Below are 15,101 nucleotides of genomic sequence, written 5' to 3'. Positions count from 1 at the left end.
GCCTACCTACAACCCAGTGCCAGCCCAGTGCTGTGAGAGCCCTGCAGGGGATGGCAGATGGTTTGAAAGCCAGGGCACTGGCCCTGGCTTTGGCCCCTCCTTTGCTGGGGACCCCTACTGTGTTGGCCCCATGGTAGGGGCTCTGTGCACAGTGTCCCTCCTTTTTCTCCTCCCACATTCAGAGAAGGGAACATTGCAGCTCTGGGTACTGAACCAGCCGAAGACTGGACTCCTCCCAGAGGACCCCTTCGGACTTAGAGCCCCACCCCCACCCCCAGTGCCTCGGGCCTTTCCCAGAAGAGGCAAGGTACAGGCTGCTTGTACTCACCATGCTGGGCATGGTCACCAGAATGAGGAAAATTTTTTGCCAAAAGCAGAGACAGCTGTGACAAAGAAAGAGGAGAGAGCCATCAGGAAATTGGGCCAGACCCCTCCCAGTCAGGGCCACTTGGCATAGTGAAGGCAAGCTCAGCCCAAGGGGCAGAGATTGCCCGGAGAACAACTGGGCATCAGCAGGTGGGCTCTCTGGCTGGCCTCTGCCTGGGTGACTGAGTCTGGAATCATCTCACAGACCCAGCCTGTACCAGAGTAGCCACCCACCACAGACCAGTTGCAGGCAGTGCATACCTTCCGTCAGTTTGCCAGCTTGCTCGGCTGCCCCGCCAGGGAGGATCTTGGAGAACACGCTCTCCCCATCGGCACCTGGCTGGCCGGCGGGAGCCCCTGGGGTTCCTCCAGGCCTGGCTCCAGCCTTCACACCTAGGAGGAAAGAAATCGCCATAATGAGCTATGCACGGCCTGGCTCTTTAGGGTCTAAGAGGGCAAGTACCCACGAGAGAATCTGAACACAGGTACCCTATAAGGTGGGAAGGTGAGAAGGAGGCTAGGGAAATAAAGAGAAGAAGGTAAGAACAGGAAGACAAGGGGTGGGAGAAGGCAGAAAAAAGGAGGTTGAGGAAGGGAAAGAAGAAGAAAGGGAAAAAAAGGCAGAGAAGAGCAGGAAAGGGGAAGGAAGGAGGGAGCAAGAAGCCATGGTCCCCACCCTGTGCTCACCAGTGCCTTCCTGCTTCTCTGCCCAAAGCTGCTTGGGCCCTAAAGCCCCTGTGCTGGTGACCTCATTGGCTTATTCTAACCCCAGGCTTGTTTTCTGCTGGGGAGGTCTACAGCCCCTGGGGCACCTTCTCAGGGATTAGTGAGGGCATGCAGTGTGGGGGAGCTCAGGGCACAGGTGGTATAGAGAGAGAACAGCCTGGGTGCTCTGGGCCACAGCCAAGGGTGTCAAAGGATAGGCTCACCTGCAGGTCCAGGTCCTGGTGCTGGCTGGGCCTGAGGAGCCCTCCCCTGTTGCGGTGCTTTGGCTGTCCCTTTAGAGCCATTTGTCTGTTCTGCCCGTGGCTGCAACACAGAACCTATAGCTAAGATTCTGCCCATGCCCAGCCTGGAACCAAGGGGATGTCCAAGCTTCATTCATAGCATCTTCCCTGGTTACAACCCATGCATGGGAGCTCTGCTTACCGGTCCTGCTGGTTGAGGACCTGTGGCTGTGCTGGGGCCTGGCTGAGGCTTCCCTGCAGGCTGGCTGGCAGCAGGGGCTGAGCCCCGGGTGGTTGGCTGGCTCTGTTGCTGCAGCCGAGCCTGTGTCAGAGCCTGCTGTGGGGGCTGCAGCCCAAGACCTTGCTGCTGCTGCTGTGTCTGTGGCTGGCGTGATGCTGCCCCAGAGGGTATTTGCCTGGATGATGGTGACTGTGACTGCTGTGGTCCTGGAGCTGCCTGCCGACCTTGCAGCTGCGGCTGCGCCTGGGGTTCTGCCTTTGACTGCAGTGCAGCGGGCCCGGAGTGGGCTTGCCGGGAGCCCTTCTTGCTGTCAGAGGCATGATGGTATGCGGATGAAGCACGGGATGGCTGTGAGTACTCAGCAGAGCTGGGATACCCAGGCTGACCCTTCTTCGGCATAGCTGGAGCAGAGCTGGGCTGAGAGTGGGGCCGGGCCTCATGGCGACCCAGGTCCCGAGCGTGTGGTTTGGCAGCACGCCGTCCCGGCTCCTCACCAGTGTGGCGGCCTGAGTGCCGCCCGTGGTCACCGTGCCGGTGTTCCTTGGCTGAGGCATGGCGGCCTGGGCCACCCTCATCATGAGGCCACAGGCCCTCCTCAGGGGGTTCATCGTAGTCATGGTAGCTGTGCCTGGCAGGGCCTCGCTTCTGGGAGGAGGAGGAAACTGCATGGCCCCCGTGGTGCCTGAACCGGTCAGAGCGGGCATCCCGGGGCTTATCAAACCAGTCCGTCTCCTCCTGGCCCAGGTGATACGCTTCAGAGACCAAAAACAGAATACCATCAACCCCCGGGCTAGCCGCAGGGGGAGGCCTAGCTGAAGCCATGCAAAGAAACCAAGAGAGTGGGTGCCACAGCCACAAGCAGATCAGCAGGCCCCCAGCCCACCCTCCCGCAACCACGGACCAGGGCACAGATGGAGCAGGCAAGGGCAGCCTGCCTGCAGCAGGGCCCACCAGATGAGGCGCCAGACCAGACCCTGCTGGGACATCTTAGGGCCCAGGGCCCCACAGGTAGGCAGGCCCCCCAGCTGCTGAGTATCCGCAGAAATCACCCCTGGCTGCCATTACCTTCGCTGTCGGAAACCACGCAATGGGAATCATCCAGGATGTAGCCCTCCTCACGCTTATATGCGTGGGCCCGAGGTCCGTCCTTGACATGTTCCTGGACATCAGGCATGGAGTGGCTGGAGCAGAACTGTGGGCAGGTATCCCCGCCGGGAGGGAGGGGCCCTCCGGCAGGGCGGGGCCTCCCCAAAGGACTGACGGGGCTCTCCTCTTCAGAGGCCTGGCTCCGCATGGGGGGTCGTACCCGGCTGTGGGCCATACTTAGGGATGAGGGCTTGGGGCCCGCTTTTTGAAGTCGCTCCACAGCCTCCCGTTCCCTTTCGTACCCCTTGCCCCAGCCACTGAAGTCGTGGCTGGACAGCTTCTCCCCACTGTATGCAGAAGGTGCCCGGGACCGGCTGCTCCCGCCATAAATGCGGTCGTCCTCCACTGCGTCCCGGCTGGACATCCCATAGTATTTTTGCTGCTCATACACGTTCTTCTTGAGCCCATAGGTGATTTCATCCTGGAACTTCCTGCCCCGAGAGACCAGGCTGCTGCTGACTGCAGGTGGGGGGTAGGACGCCAGGTCTGACTCTACGTCTTTGGCCTCTTCAATAGGCGAGAACTTGGATATCTTTTGCTCCATGCCCTGCTTCCGGTGCTTGCTGCGCTTTGAGGAGATGGCAGCTGGAGCCAGGCTCTTGGAGGGATGCTTGGGCCCCATGGGCCCTGGACCATACTTCTCTACTCGAGCCCCATGCCTGTAGTCACTGTCACCATAGTAGTGGGTACTGGCTGGTCGACCATTGCTCTCCATGCTCCGGAGGTGGCCACCCTTCCCGCGGGGATCGTATGAGTCCTCCTCAGATTCCTCTTCTCCTCTGGCATAGCAGCAGGGCAGTGTGGGCCCGTCAAGGACACCTGGTTCTCCAGGCTCCTTCCCTGGACGCCCACTGCTGCCTGGCCCCAGGGGCTCCAGCCGTTGGCTATCAGGAGCAGTAGAGGTGCTGTCCTTGGTCAGTTCACTGATGTCATCAATCATTACGTAGTTTCGAGGAACGTTCTGCTCCAGACTGGTATAGTGTGAGTCAGAGGGGTAGGTGGGGGCTGGGCTCTGGCTCACACTGCCACGGTCACCAGCCCGGGGCACCTCAGGGACCTTGCCCTGCTCATAGCCGCTGCTCACTGCTGGGCCACTGTAGCTGGTTTCAGATGGGGCTGAAGACATGGGCACAACGGGGCTGGCGATCACCTCATAGTTGGTGGGCACCTTCTGCTCCAAGTCGGCTAGCGATGTCTGGCGTGGCTTCTGCAGTGGGGCACGGCTATCAGCGGGGACTGGAAAAAGGGTGCTCTGTGTGGTTGGCATGGGTGTTTGGCCTGCATAGTGGCCTGTGGGGCGGAAAGCCTGCTGGTTTGGCAGGCCAGGCTCAGCTGGGTAACTGGCACCAGGAGGAAAGGCAGGAGCTGGGTACGTGCTGGGGCCAGGGTAGGTGGGGGCCTGGTGGGCTGGGAATCCGTTCTGAGTTGGCCCACCACTGCCTGCAGAATACTGTGGGGCTGGAGGCTGGAAGCGGGGCTGCTGGAAGGCAGTGGGACCAGAGGGGGTGGCAGGAGCAGCGGCAGTGGCAGGGAAGTCCACAAACTGGCCAGCGGGAGTGGTGCAGCCCTGGAGCCGCAGCTGGTTGAGCTCACTGTCCGATAGGTAGTCACGATGCTCGCCAAGACCACGCAAGGGTGGGTAGTCACGGCCACCCCGGTCTTTGGCCAAAGACTCTTTGCGTTGTGTGATACCCAACTCCAGGTACTTGAGCTTGGCGTCAATCTCCTTCTCCTCCTCATCCAGCTCTGCCTGCTTCTTGCGCAGTTTGGTGGACTCATGCTCCACCAGCCGCAGGTCCCGGTCCAGCTCCCGGAGCAGGCTGGCCTTGGTAGCAGGGACAGTGGTGGGCCCCGTCAGCCCTCGCTGCAGCAGGCTGGCTGCATACAGCTGTGGGGAGGCCTGGCCAGCCAGGGGAAGGTGAGCCTCCTCTGGAGGGGGGCTGGGCAGTGTCCGCTTCACCTTGCGGACCAGGCTGTTGGGTGGCAACGCCGACACCTGAGACAGAGGGAAGGGTGGGCAGCACTGAGACCCAAGGTGTGGTGACTTGATGGGGTGTGGGGTGGCAGAACCCAGGCCTGGGCTGGGGAAGGAGCTGGGTTCCATCTTGCTGGTGCCCTGATTTACCAGGCAGCCTGGAGGCCTACCCTGCCCACCCATAGGCCTTGGTTTCTTTGCCATAGAGGGAAGATCTGTGATTATTTTACAGCCCTTCTCTTTCCCAGAGCTTTGGGAAGCAGGAGGGTACGGGCAGATTCCCTTCATGCCAATGTCCTGTACTGGCCCAGCACATGGCTTTGAGAACCCCTGCACATCTCCAATGGGCCTGCCACCCTCTGCCTCACATTGAGGTAAGAAGAGTACAGCTGTGGCTCTGGGTTTGGGGCCTAGCAGCTGACAGGGGTTGAGATCAGTGGAGTATGAACAGGAGGCATGGAGTGGAGAGGGTCCTGGGCCCGCCAGGCTCCCTAGAGGATCATGGGAAGGGACACATGTAGATTGTATGCCAATCGTGGCAGGCTCTGAGTCATTCTGCATCCTGCCCTAGTCCTCTCTAAAGTGGAAGGCTCCTCAGCTGCCTGCCCACCCTCTTCCTCTAGTGCCCTGCACTGCCCTCTGCCAAACCCTCTGGGCTGTGCTCTTGGCCTGGTCCCCAGCTCCCTCCATGTCCCTCGGTCAACCTGCTGTTCTCTGGAGCCACCAGTGCACCCGTAAGTCCTATCCAGCCCTACCTCCAGCAGCATGGCTTCCTGGTCAAGGTTCCCTAACAGTGCCTACCATGGGGTCCTCCTTGCCTACCCTAGACACTCTGCATTGCCTGAAGGTCCACATTGCCTGGTAGTTCACTCTGTCTTCTCCCTTTTTCTCTCGCTCCTAGCCTTCCCAGAATGCCCCATGCCCTTGGGTTTCATGGACCACCCAAATTCCAATATATACTGGGAAGTGACTCCTATAGGATTCTTACTTTTTACCTTGCCAAGTAACTACCTAAAAACCTCCCACCTACATCCACCATATGTCATAATAAAAATTATAGTGTGCCCTCAAAATTTCAGGGTGGGCCTTTTATGGAATAAATTTAGCCTTTTGAACCCCTCACTCTGTTGTCTCTTTTCTTATTTTGGCCACGCATCATGAGTGCCTATCATGGCCTGGTCTCACATGGCCAGCCCATGGGACCTCTGTGCCTGCAGCCAGGACCACCCTGCCTCTCTGACCTGCCCTCCCTGCCAGCCTAGAGTCCTGATCCCACCCACACCCCTATATGGCCTGCATACACCAAGACTTCACTACCCAAGATTATCACCTCCACAAACCCCATTCTAAGGCTCCACTTTTCTCGTCTCTGTGTCACACCCTGAAAATGGGCAAATCTACCTTACGATGCCTCTGGCTCCTGCCTCCTCTGCCAGGTCTCTTCCTTCAGCCCACCCTCCCACATTCTGCCCAGGAAACTTTCCAAAACATCTGCTTTGTCCCATCTCACATGCCTAAAACCTCCAGAGGCTTCCAGGGTCTTTAGGAAAAGCCCATCCTCCTCAGCCTGGCACTCAGTTGTTGGCATTAGGCCCTCACAACCCTCTATTCTCACTTTGGCTGCAGCCCACAGCCAAGCCACTTCTCACAGTCCCCATCCATCACTGGCAAATAAAGCCACAACCAAGGGTAAGCTTATGCTTCTGAATCCCCTATCTAGGGGAGCAGACAGATGTGTAAACAGATTTACCGAGGGCCAGGTAGGGGCAGAGAACACCCTGGGGCAGAGAGCACACTGCAGCCCGCTGGGATGGGCCTCTAGTGCTAGGCCATAGGGGTGTGGGCTTCCTGTGTGGCAATGGAAACCAGGCCAGGACTGAGAGGACGAGAGCAGCCGCGCCAGGTTCATATGACTGATTTTCTTAGGAAACACCCATAGATTAAGTTTGGAGTGGAAGGGGTCCAGACTAGAAGTGAGAGCTGAAGAGGCCTAAAGGGGGAGGTAGCAGGGGCTGGACCAGGTGTGGGTGGTGAAGGGACAGTGCTGGGAGGAGGCTGAAGCTTCTAGTAGGGTATGTGGCTGGAAGGCTGTGGGGGCCCATGTGTGTGTCTGTATCTGCCAGGCTGTCTGCCGGGCTGCAGGCTCTTTCAGATGTGCACCAGGGAGCATCTGCTCATTGACTCTTTCCCCTGGGCCTCTGGGGCCAGAGATGCCTCTACTCCCACCCCAGAAGAAGCCCCTCCCTGTGGGGGCCCCTCGGGCTAGGCAGAGACCCCTGTCCCACCCTGGAACAGCCCCTGTTCCCATACCTGGCTACCCAGTCCCCCCTGGTGCTGGTAGAGGGAGAATCTCTCTTTGGCAGACTCTTCGGCGGTGGGGCTGAGGGGCTTAGGGTCAGACAGGGACCGCTGCAGGGTCTTCATGGGGCGAGGCAGCGTCTGCTGGCGGAGAGCGCTGTCAGCCGTGAAGTGCTTCTGGGGACTCACGTGAGCTTTGTTCAGCCTCTCACTGGAAGCAAAGGAGGTGTCCAGGAGCCGGTGAGGGGACAGGGGTGAGACTGGTGAGTAGAGGACCTGAGGGGACTTGGGAGGCTGGCGGCTCACAAGCTGTGAGAGAGACTCCGGAGGCAGGTGGGCCTGGTACCCAATCTCCAGGGGATCTGGCTTCTTTTTTTCAAATCTGCCCAGAGGCCCTGGGGTGACGATCTGGATGCCAGGCAGGTAGGGGCTGATGGCAGTTGGCCCTACAAGCTGCGGCCCGGCTACACCCTGGGCCTGCCCATCTGGCTCCGTCTGGCAGGCCAGGCTCTCCCCACGCCCAGTCTTCTCTGGCGCCGATATGTACCTGACGATCTCCACCTTGGGATCGGTGGCAGCTGTGATGTGGATGGCTGGAGAGACCCTGGGCAGCTGGTCAGGCTCCGTCTGCACGGAGCAGTCACTGATGGTCTGGATGCCCACGCTGCTCATGGCCCTCACAGTGGCAGCAGCACTGGATGATGAGGCAGTGGCATCGTGCTTGCTGTCAGAGCCTGAGTCTGAGTGGCGGGGAAGACGAGACCTGCGGCGGCGCACTGGCTGCTCCCACTCAGCACTGTCTTCGTCGTCCGTCTGCACACTGCAGTCAGCACTCCGCCGTGCCCGGCGTCGCCGACTCAAGAGGTAGCGGCTCTCCCCATCCTCATCGTCTGTCTGCACGCTGCTGTCGGCAATCCTCCTGACCACACAGGGCTCAGTCCCAGACTCTAGCTCACAGGCATCCCGCAGGCGTGGCATGGAGTGCCGCTTCTTGATGCCACTACGGCTGGCCTCCCACTGCTCCTCCGTTTGCAGTGACATGTCTGAGGCAGAGCTGGGGAGACCCCGGTGCAGCACAGGCTCACGAGGCTGCCCAAGTCCTTCAGGCCCTGCCATGGCAATGAAGGCTGCATGTGTAAGGGGGGGCCAATACTGGCCATTCTGGGCCAACTCAGCAGCCGCTAGGGGAGGCCCTCGGCCAGGTGCCTCACAGGCTGCAGGAAAGGGAGCCTTCTGCCGCTGCTTCTGCTCCTCTAGCTGCTGCTGCAGCTGCTGCTGCAGCTGCTGGATCTGCTCCAGCTGCAGACGCTGCTGCGCTAGCTGTTCCCGCTGCAGTGCAAATTGAGCCTGGCGTTCCTCTTGCTGCTGCTGCAGCACATGGTGCTTGATGGTCTGCAGCTCCTGCAACTCCCGCTGCACCAGCAGCTGCTCCTCCTCACGGTGCCTCTGCAGCTCCACACGTTCCCGCTCTAGCTCCTCTTGCAGCCGAAGTTGTCGCAGCTTCTCCAACTCCACCCGCTCCCGCTCTAGCTGGAGCAGCTGCTCCTGTTGCTTCCGCTGCCTCTCCTCCTGTGATGCTTCCTCTTTCTCGAACCCTGGCCGGCTGAGGGCCCCACTGCCACCCCCAGGAGCAGCATCTGCTGGTGGCTTCTGGCCAGCTAGTGGGGCAGGAGCTGGGGCTCCTGCAGCCTCCTTGATGGCAGCAGGGGTGGTTGTGGGAAGAGGCTCTTCCCGTGCAGCCCCTACTGGCATCTCTGGCCTTGAAGGGCCCCCAGCCCCAGGGGCCTTGGCAGCAGCAGGTTTCCCCAGATAGACAGGCCCTTCTGCAGGTGGAACACTGGAAGCAATGGGAAATCTACTTGGTGCAGGATAGCGGTACAGCCCTGTGGGTCCAAGAGGTACCCGGGGGGCAATCATGGGCACACGTGTCAGACTGGTGAGTGGCACGGCTGTGATTCCACCAGATGCGTAAGGCCTGTACATGCCACCACGCACCATGGGCCGCAGGACTGAGGCAGGCTGGGTGGTGATGGGCAGTGTTGCAGCAATTGGGGTATTGATAGTCGAGTAGATCATGCCATCAGCTGCACGTACAGTGGCTGTGGACGGCAGCAGCTGTCTGACTGCTGTTCCTTGGCCTGCTGCAGGCCCATACTGGGCCAAGTTCCCAGGACTTGGGTGGCCCTCTGGAAAGGTGGGGTTACCAAGGAGTCCAGGTCTGAGGGGAACCAGACTCTGTGGAGCACTGAGCCCGGGCCCGTGCTGGGGCTGGTACTGCACAAGGTCAGGGCCACCACCACCACTGCCATGCCGCCCACCATACTGGTCCATGGAGTTGAGGGCAGCGCACATGCGACTGATTTCACGGGCTGTGGTGGCACTGTACTGGGCCAGGCTGGCCTCCTGGAAGCCAACTGCATCTCCCCGTGGGCCGTACCTGTGGTCTGAGTAGATGTTCGACACTGAGCTATAGCGCCGCATGGGAAGCGGGTGAGCCAAAAGGTCTGTAGGATGACGCAGGTCCGTGACTGAGCCATACTGCAAGCCCTGCCCTAGGTAGCGTCCATCCGCAAAGCCCAGGCTGTAGGAGTGCTTCAGTGAGCTGAGGTCCATAGCCGAGTCTCGTCCAGGACCCTGGAAGAGCTGCCCGATCCTCTGGGCATGGTAGTTGAGGCCAGCCTCAGCCAAATTGGTGTCAGACATGGAGGAGTACAGCCTACCAGGCAGGCCTTGTGGGTAGGGCCTCTGCTCCTCATGGGGCCCAGGCCCCACCACCCCCTGTGCCCGGTAGGTTGGGGGCTCAGGAGGCTCAGGGTCCCGGGGACCATAGAAGGGGCTGCTGCTTTGGCCAGGTGGGGCAGCATCTGCCATGCTCTTCTCAGGCACACTGGGGGCCGGGTGGAAGGTGCCAGTGCAGCTGCTGCCAAAGGGGAGCTTGTAGACCATGTCACAGCATGCCAGCTGGCTCTCAGGCCTCATCCCGGTAAGGTCCAGGGCACCCGCAGGCTCCTCTGGGAGCAGTGTGGTCACAGTGCCTGCTGTGCCCTCTCCCATCTGCACCACCACTGTGTGTGGCTTCCTGGCACCTGGCAGAGCATGTGACCGCAGCTCTGCAGGGGTGGCCCGGTGGGGCTCGGCACCTGGCTCTGGCACTGGGCCTGGCTTGAGGCCAATGCTCTGGGCGGTGCCCATCTGAGTGATCAAAACGTCTCTTCTGGCCAGAGGAGCTACTTGGTTGGGTAGGTTATATCTGGCAAACTTGGCCTCCCTGGGTCTTCCCCGGGGCCCACTTCGGTATGGGGCTGTCTGGACAGCCTGCTCTACTTGTTTGACCTGGGCCAGGCACACAGGGCTACCCCCACCCTGGCCAAAGTCAAGGCGGCTCTGGTAGGGGTCTCCATAGACCACAGGCTGCTTTTGTTGAGCCATGAACACAGACGAGGCCATGGTGATGCTCACGGTGGTGGCAGTAGCAAGGAAGGTATGCTCCTGGGCATTGAGGTTGATAACCAAGGGCTGCACGGCGGTCGACTGCCGTCCTGGGATTGGATCCAGGGCAAGACCATACTTCCTCGCTTCCACAGCAAGAGAGGTGAGGTCCATGCCCTGGTCAGTGAGGATGATGGGAGTGGGCTTGACAGCTGTACGGAGGTCTACCACTGCAGTGCCAGGGGTCCTGGGGCCTGGCTCAACCCTAGACGTCCCAGGGACAGAGGAGATCCGGCACAGGGAGATGTTCTCAGCAGGGAGGGCACCCCAGCCATATAGTGCCAGGGGCCCATCTGCACCAGCACTGGGCACCCGTGGAAAGCCAGGTGGCCCAGGTGGCTCTGGGGGCAGCTGAGACACACTCGGAGGTGTTGTCTGGCTGTAGCCATGGGTGGTGGGCTGGGTTTCAGTAGGTGAGCAGAGCGGGGAGGTGGAGGCACTGGCATGTACCATCCTGGTCTGGCTGGAGGCGTCAGATGCCAGCGTGATGACCATAAAGGGAGCCTCTTGAGAGGACTCCTGCCACACCAGGCGAGGCGTGCTGGGTCGATGTGGTGTTTGTGTACCCTGGGCTACCATAGGTGATGGAGTGGGGGCACCAGGGCTCCGTGGCATGTCTGAGGCAGGGGCTGGACTTGGCGTCTGTGTAGAGAACTCTGCTGTGGCCCTTGGGCCCATCTTGCCAGGGGAGAATGTGGGACTCTCTGAGGGGGAAGACGGGGAGAGAGGTGGGCTGGAGCTTGCAAAGTAGGAATATGCCCGGGAAGGCTGAGGAGTGCCACCCTCACCGTCACTCGCACTCAAGGGCTTCTCTCTAGCAGCTCGTCCAGCTGCAGCAAGGCCACTGGGGGCCTGGGGTAGATCCTCAGTTTGGGACCCATAGTTTGCAGTGGTTGGGCTGTGTCCATAGCTGTGGGCTGTGGAAGATGGTGAAGGACTACGCTCGGAGCCTGCTGGGGAGGCTGGAGTCATATATCCTCGTGGCAGCCCAGCTGGACAAGGAGCCACAGCTGTGGTGGCTGGGGTCCCAGGGCCCTGGGAAAAGGGCATGCCTATCTCCTTGGAGGCTGAGCTGGGGGAGGCAGGAGAGCTGTGCAGCTTGAGGGGGTCCTGAGTCTCCTTTGCAAAATGCTGAGTGACACGGACATCGGGAATAACTCGGCCCCCGCTGCTGTCTGAGGAGGTGGGGGTAGAGAAGGACACAGGGGCAGCGAGCTGGGTGGGACTGGTACCAGGGGTAAGGGGGCCACCATTTTGCTTCATTGGGTCCATGTATGCACTCTCAGCATTTAGAAACTGCTTCTCCTTCTTTTTGTCCTCAGCAAAAGCCAGGTCTCGTGAGGAGGCCTGCCGCATGCGGACTATGCTCTGTGATGTCTGAAGGATTTCTTCGTACACGGCTGCTCCCAGGCTGGCTGGCGTGCCCTCTGCGGCAGGCTGAGCAGCCTGGCCATACTCACGGTCTGTAGTGTCTTGATATTCGAAGGAGCCCAGGCCCCGGGGGCCTGTGGGCTGAGAGGGGCCGCCATGGGGTCCCCGGGCCCCTGCTGCCTGGCCTTGCTGCCTCTGGAGCAGCTCAGCTTTGCGCATCATCTCCTCATAAGCCTCCTCAGCGCTCTTGAGCGGCCGTCCGGAACTGGGAGTGGTGGAGCTGCCGGAGGGTGTCTCGGTTGGTGAGTAGAGGGACATGAAGGTGGGCAGGTTGTACTCACTGCCTGACTTGTAAAGCCGGCTAGGGCCACCATCCAAGGCCTCAGCCTCAGAGTCAAGGGAGGGTGAGGGTGAGTACTCAGAGCAGGAGGAGCGGTGTAGCTCCTCCATCTCGGCCGCCTGCCTCAGCTCCTCCGTCGGGGAGGCATCCTCGATGGGTGACAAGTTACTGGGTGGTGTCTTGGAGCGCTCTCGCCTCCGCTGGGCCCGCAGTTCTTCCTTGTCCCGCCGGGTCTTGCGGGCCGTGCTGCGGATGCGCTGCTGCTCCACCTCCCGCATCTTCTCTTGCTCACGAAGCAGCTCCTCTTCCTCCCGCAGCTCCTCCTCCTCTGAGGAGTCCTCGATGGTGGGTAGCAGGGGCCCGTGGGAGCGGTGCCGGGCCTTGCGCTGCTGCTTTGCTTCTTCTAGACGCTGCCTGCGGCTGGGGCTGCTGTCACTGTCCTCCTCTAGGGAGGACAGAGAGGTGGGAGAGGTGCCCGAGGTGTAGCTGGGTGTGGAGGCAGGCAATGTAGAGGAGTGCTCACCACGGGAGCGGTCCTCAGGGGAGCCCGTTAGGCTCTCCATCTCCAGCTCAGGCTCCCGGTCCAGACTGGGGTCTGGGCCTTGGCCCAGGTCCAACTCATGACCATAACTTCCCGTGCTGTTGAGCTCAATGGTCTTGAAGCGACGGAGCCCACCCTGCAGGGTCCCACTGCCATCGGTAGCCTCTGCTGAGCCTCCCTCAGGGAGCAGCTCCTCATAGCCCGTGGTGGCATTGTGGGGCAGGCGCCTCTTGGGCAGTGCTGCTGGTTCTTGGCTAGGCTCAGGCCTGGGTCTGGGGCCACCTTTCTGGGTGCCATGTTTGGCCAGGCCACGCCCGGAGGTGGCAGTGTCATCCTCCTCCAGGTTGTCTTCCTCGGCGCTCATCTCGAGAATCTGCCGTCGCATGAAATCCTCATCAGTCAGTTCTGCTGCCCGGGCTGGGGGCTGGGGTGGAAGAGGGGACAGGCCACCCTCACTGCTGTCCTCCACATAGTCGTGCCTCAATTGGCTGCCAAAGTCGTCTGAGGACTCGGCAGTGTCCTGCTGCTCTCTCCGGCGCCTCCACTCAGCAGAGTCTTCGTCTTCCTCCAGGATATCCTCCAGCTCCTCATCAGAGTCAAAGGCCTCAGGCGTGATGGACAAGGAGTGGGGCCGCTGCTTCTGCTCCTCGCCAGTACCGCTGGAGAGTGGCTTGCTCCGCTCACTTGGGGCCAGGCCCTGGGCCTGCAGCAAAGGCCGCATGCTGCTCCCCACCTTGTGGATCTCGGAGGGGCTGGGTGGATGTGGCCCTGTCACCCCTGCACTGTCCAGCTGTTCCACCTCCTGCTGCACGACTCCTGTGATCTCACTCTGGGAGCTAGAGATGCCGTCAGAGGAATAGCCTGTGTCACTGAGGCTCTGTGGGCTCCGAGACGCATCCTGAGAGTAAGGCTTGCCCACCAGGTCCTGCAGCAGGGTGAAAAGCAGACACTGACTCCCCATGGCAAAGCTCGTGGTGGGAACCCAATCCTCCCTGTCAATCCCAGGACCCTGGGGAAGAGTCTGTCCATTTCCCAAGGGTTTAGGGCCCGCCACCCACCCTATCTCCTTCTGGCCTTGAATAACCTGAAGGTTCCATGGCAAGCCCAAACCAGCCCTTGGTCTTCAAAGAGAAACTTTACTAGATCAAAGGGTATCAAAACCCAGCAAAGCATCTGACAAGGTGCCAGACACAGCACCAGTGTAAAACCCACAGTCTCCAAGCGTGCCAGAACCTCATCTAGACTTTCCTTCTACTGTGTCCCTTCCCTCCTGTGTGGCCCCAAGGCACCTGTCCTGAGCCTACAGCCTCAGCCACCCAGGGAGGCAAGCCTTTCCATAGACTGTCCTGTCTGAAAGCTAGGGTCTCTGGGAAGTGAATGGGACTGACCTCCGCCTCCCCACCCTTGGGGGCTTCTGGAACAGCCTTGACGACAGGGGTGGCAGGTTCAGCCCTCCTCACCCCACTCTTTACTTTAGGAGTCGCAGGGGTTGGGGTAGTCTCTGGAGGTGGCTTCGGCATGGGCTCAGCTTTAGTGGGGACTCGGGTCTTCTTTTCCTGGACACTGCTTGGGGTCTTGCTGGGTTCAGAAGCCCTGAGGGGCTTGGCCTGGGGGCTGGCCTTGCTGGGCAGAGGGCTGGCCTTGGTGGATAGAGGGCTGGCCTTGGCAGGCAGGGGGCCTGAAGGCTGGCCCAGCCCCTGTGGCCCTTTCTGCTTCAGAGGGGATGTTCCAGATGCACGGTGAGGGGCCCCTACAGGGGGCTGCTGTGAGGTGGGCGGCGGCAGGGGGGTCGGCTCTCCTAGGCTGCCCTCCAGTAGCCGCTTGGTTTGGCAGTTCAGACAGAGCCACTCTGTTTTCTGCAAGGAAATGGGAGAGGGGGTTGATGAAAATTAAAAAGACACTGAAGTCCTCAAATAATATTTCCATAACTATTTCTGTAACCTTAGGGAGGAGAGAACTTTCAAAGCATAACACCAAAGACATAAGGAGAAAAAGACTGACCAATTTACTGCCCCCAAATAACAAATTCCCCTACCTTTAAGATGAACACACACAAAGTCAGAATGCAAGTAACAACCCCAAAGAAGAGTACTTTCCTTAACCCACAGAGAACTTTTCACCAGGCCAGAAAAGGGGGAGAACTGTGGGGGATGGGAGGGCCTAGCCCTAAGCACAGGGGAAGCTGAGGTCTCAATCTGAGGGAGCAAACGGCTCCTAGTGGGCTGGTATGGAGTCCAGCAGTTGAGAACCCTTGTGGAAGAGGAGTGGCATCCAAGCATGGAGCACTTCCTGGAGGCACTATGCTTCCCCTGCCTCCCAGCTCTCAGGTCTGACTCCATCCTTCCCCACACTCTTTCCCAGGTAAGGGCTATGCTAGATAGGGTGCA

At 60.2% G+C, this 15,101-nt stretch overlaps 1 protein-coding gene across 5 annotated transcripts in view; it reads right to left on the bottom strand.

Annotated features, from left to right (window-relative positions):
* The window catches only part of BSN (bassoon presynaptic cytomatrix protein), a 118,654-nt gene that overhangs the window by 7,949 nt on the left and 95,604 nt on the right, over positions 1-15,101 (bottom strand). For 4 of the 5 annotated variants that reach the window (XM_047449150.1, NM_003458.4, XM_047449149.1 and 1 more), the window contains exons 4-10: positions 14,103-14,570; positions 6,986-13,639; positions 2,620-4,696; positions 1,516-2,306; positions 1,296-1,395; positions 628-759; positions 329-383 (exon numbers count right to left, since the gene is read on the bottom strand). In XM_047449150.1, the coding sequence (XP_047305106.1) occupies positions 343-383; positions 628-759; positions 1,296-1,395; positions 1,516-2,306; positions 2,620-4,696; positions 6,986-13,639; positions 14,103-14,570 (10,263 nt within the window). In that variant the 3' untranslated portion in view covers positions 329-342. The remainder of the gene's footprint in view (positions 1-328; positions 384-627; positions 760-1,295; positions 1,396-1,515; positions 2,307-2,619; positions 4,697-6,985; positions 13,640-14,102; positions 14,571-15,101) is intronic. The other variant, XM_047449152.1, reaches the window with a different exon arrangement.

The sequence above is a fragment of the Homo sapiens genome, chromosome 3 (assembly GCF_000001405.40).
Source record: "Homo sapiens chromosome 3, GRCh38.p14 Primary Assembly".
Lineage (NCBI taxonomy): Eukaryota > Metazoa > Chordata > Mammalia > Primates > Hominidae > Homo > Homo sapiens.
The sequence above is the reverse complement of the archived record's forward strand: the minus strand, read 5'-3'. Positions and strand labels throughout refer to the sequence as shown.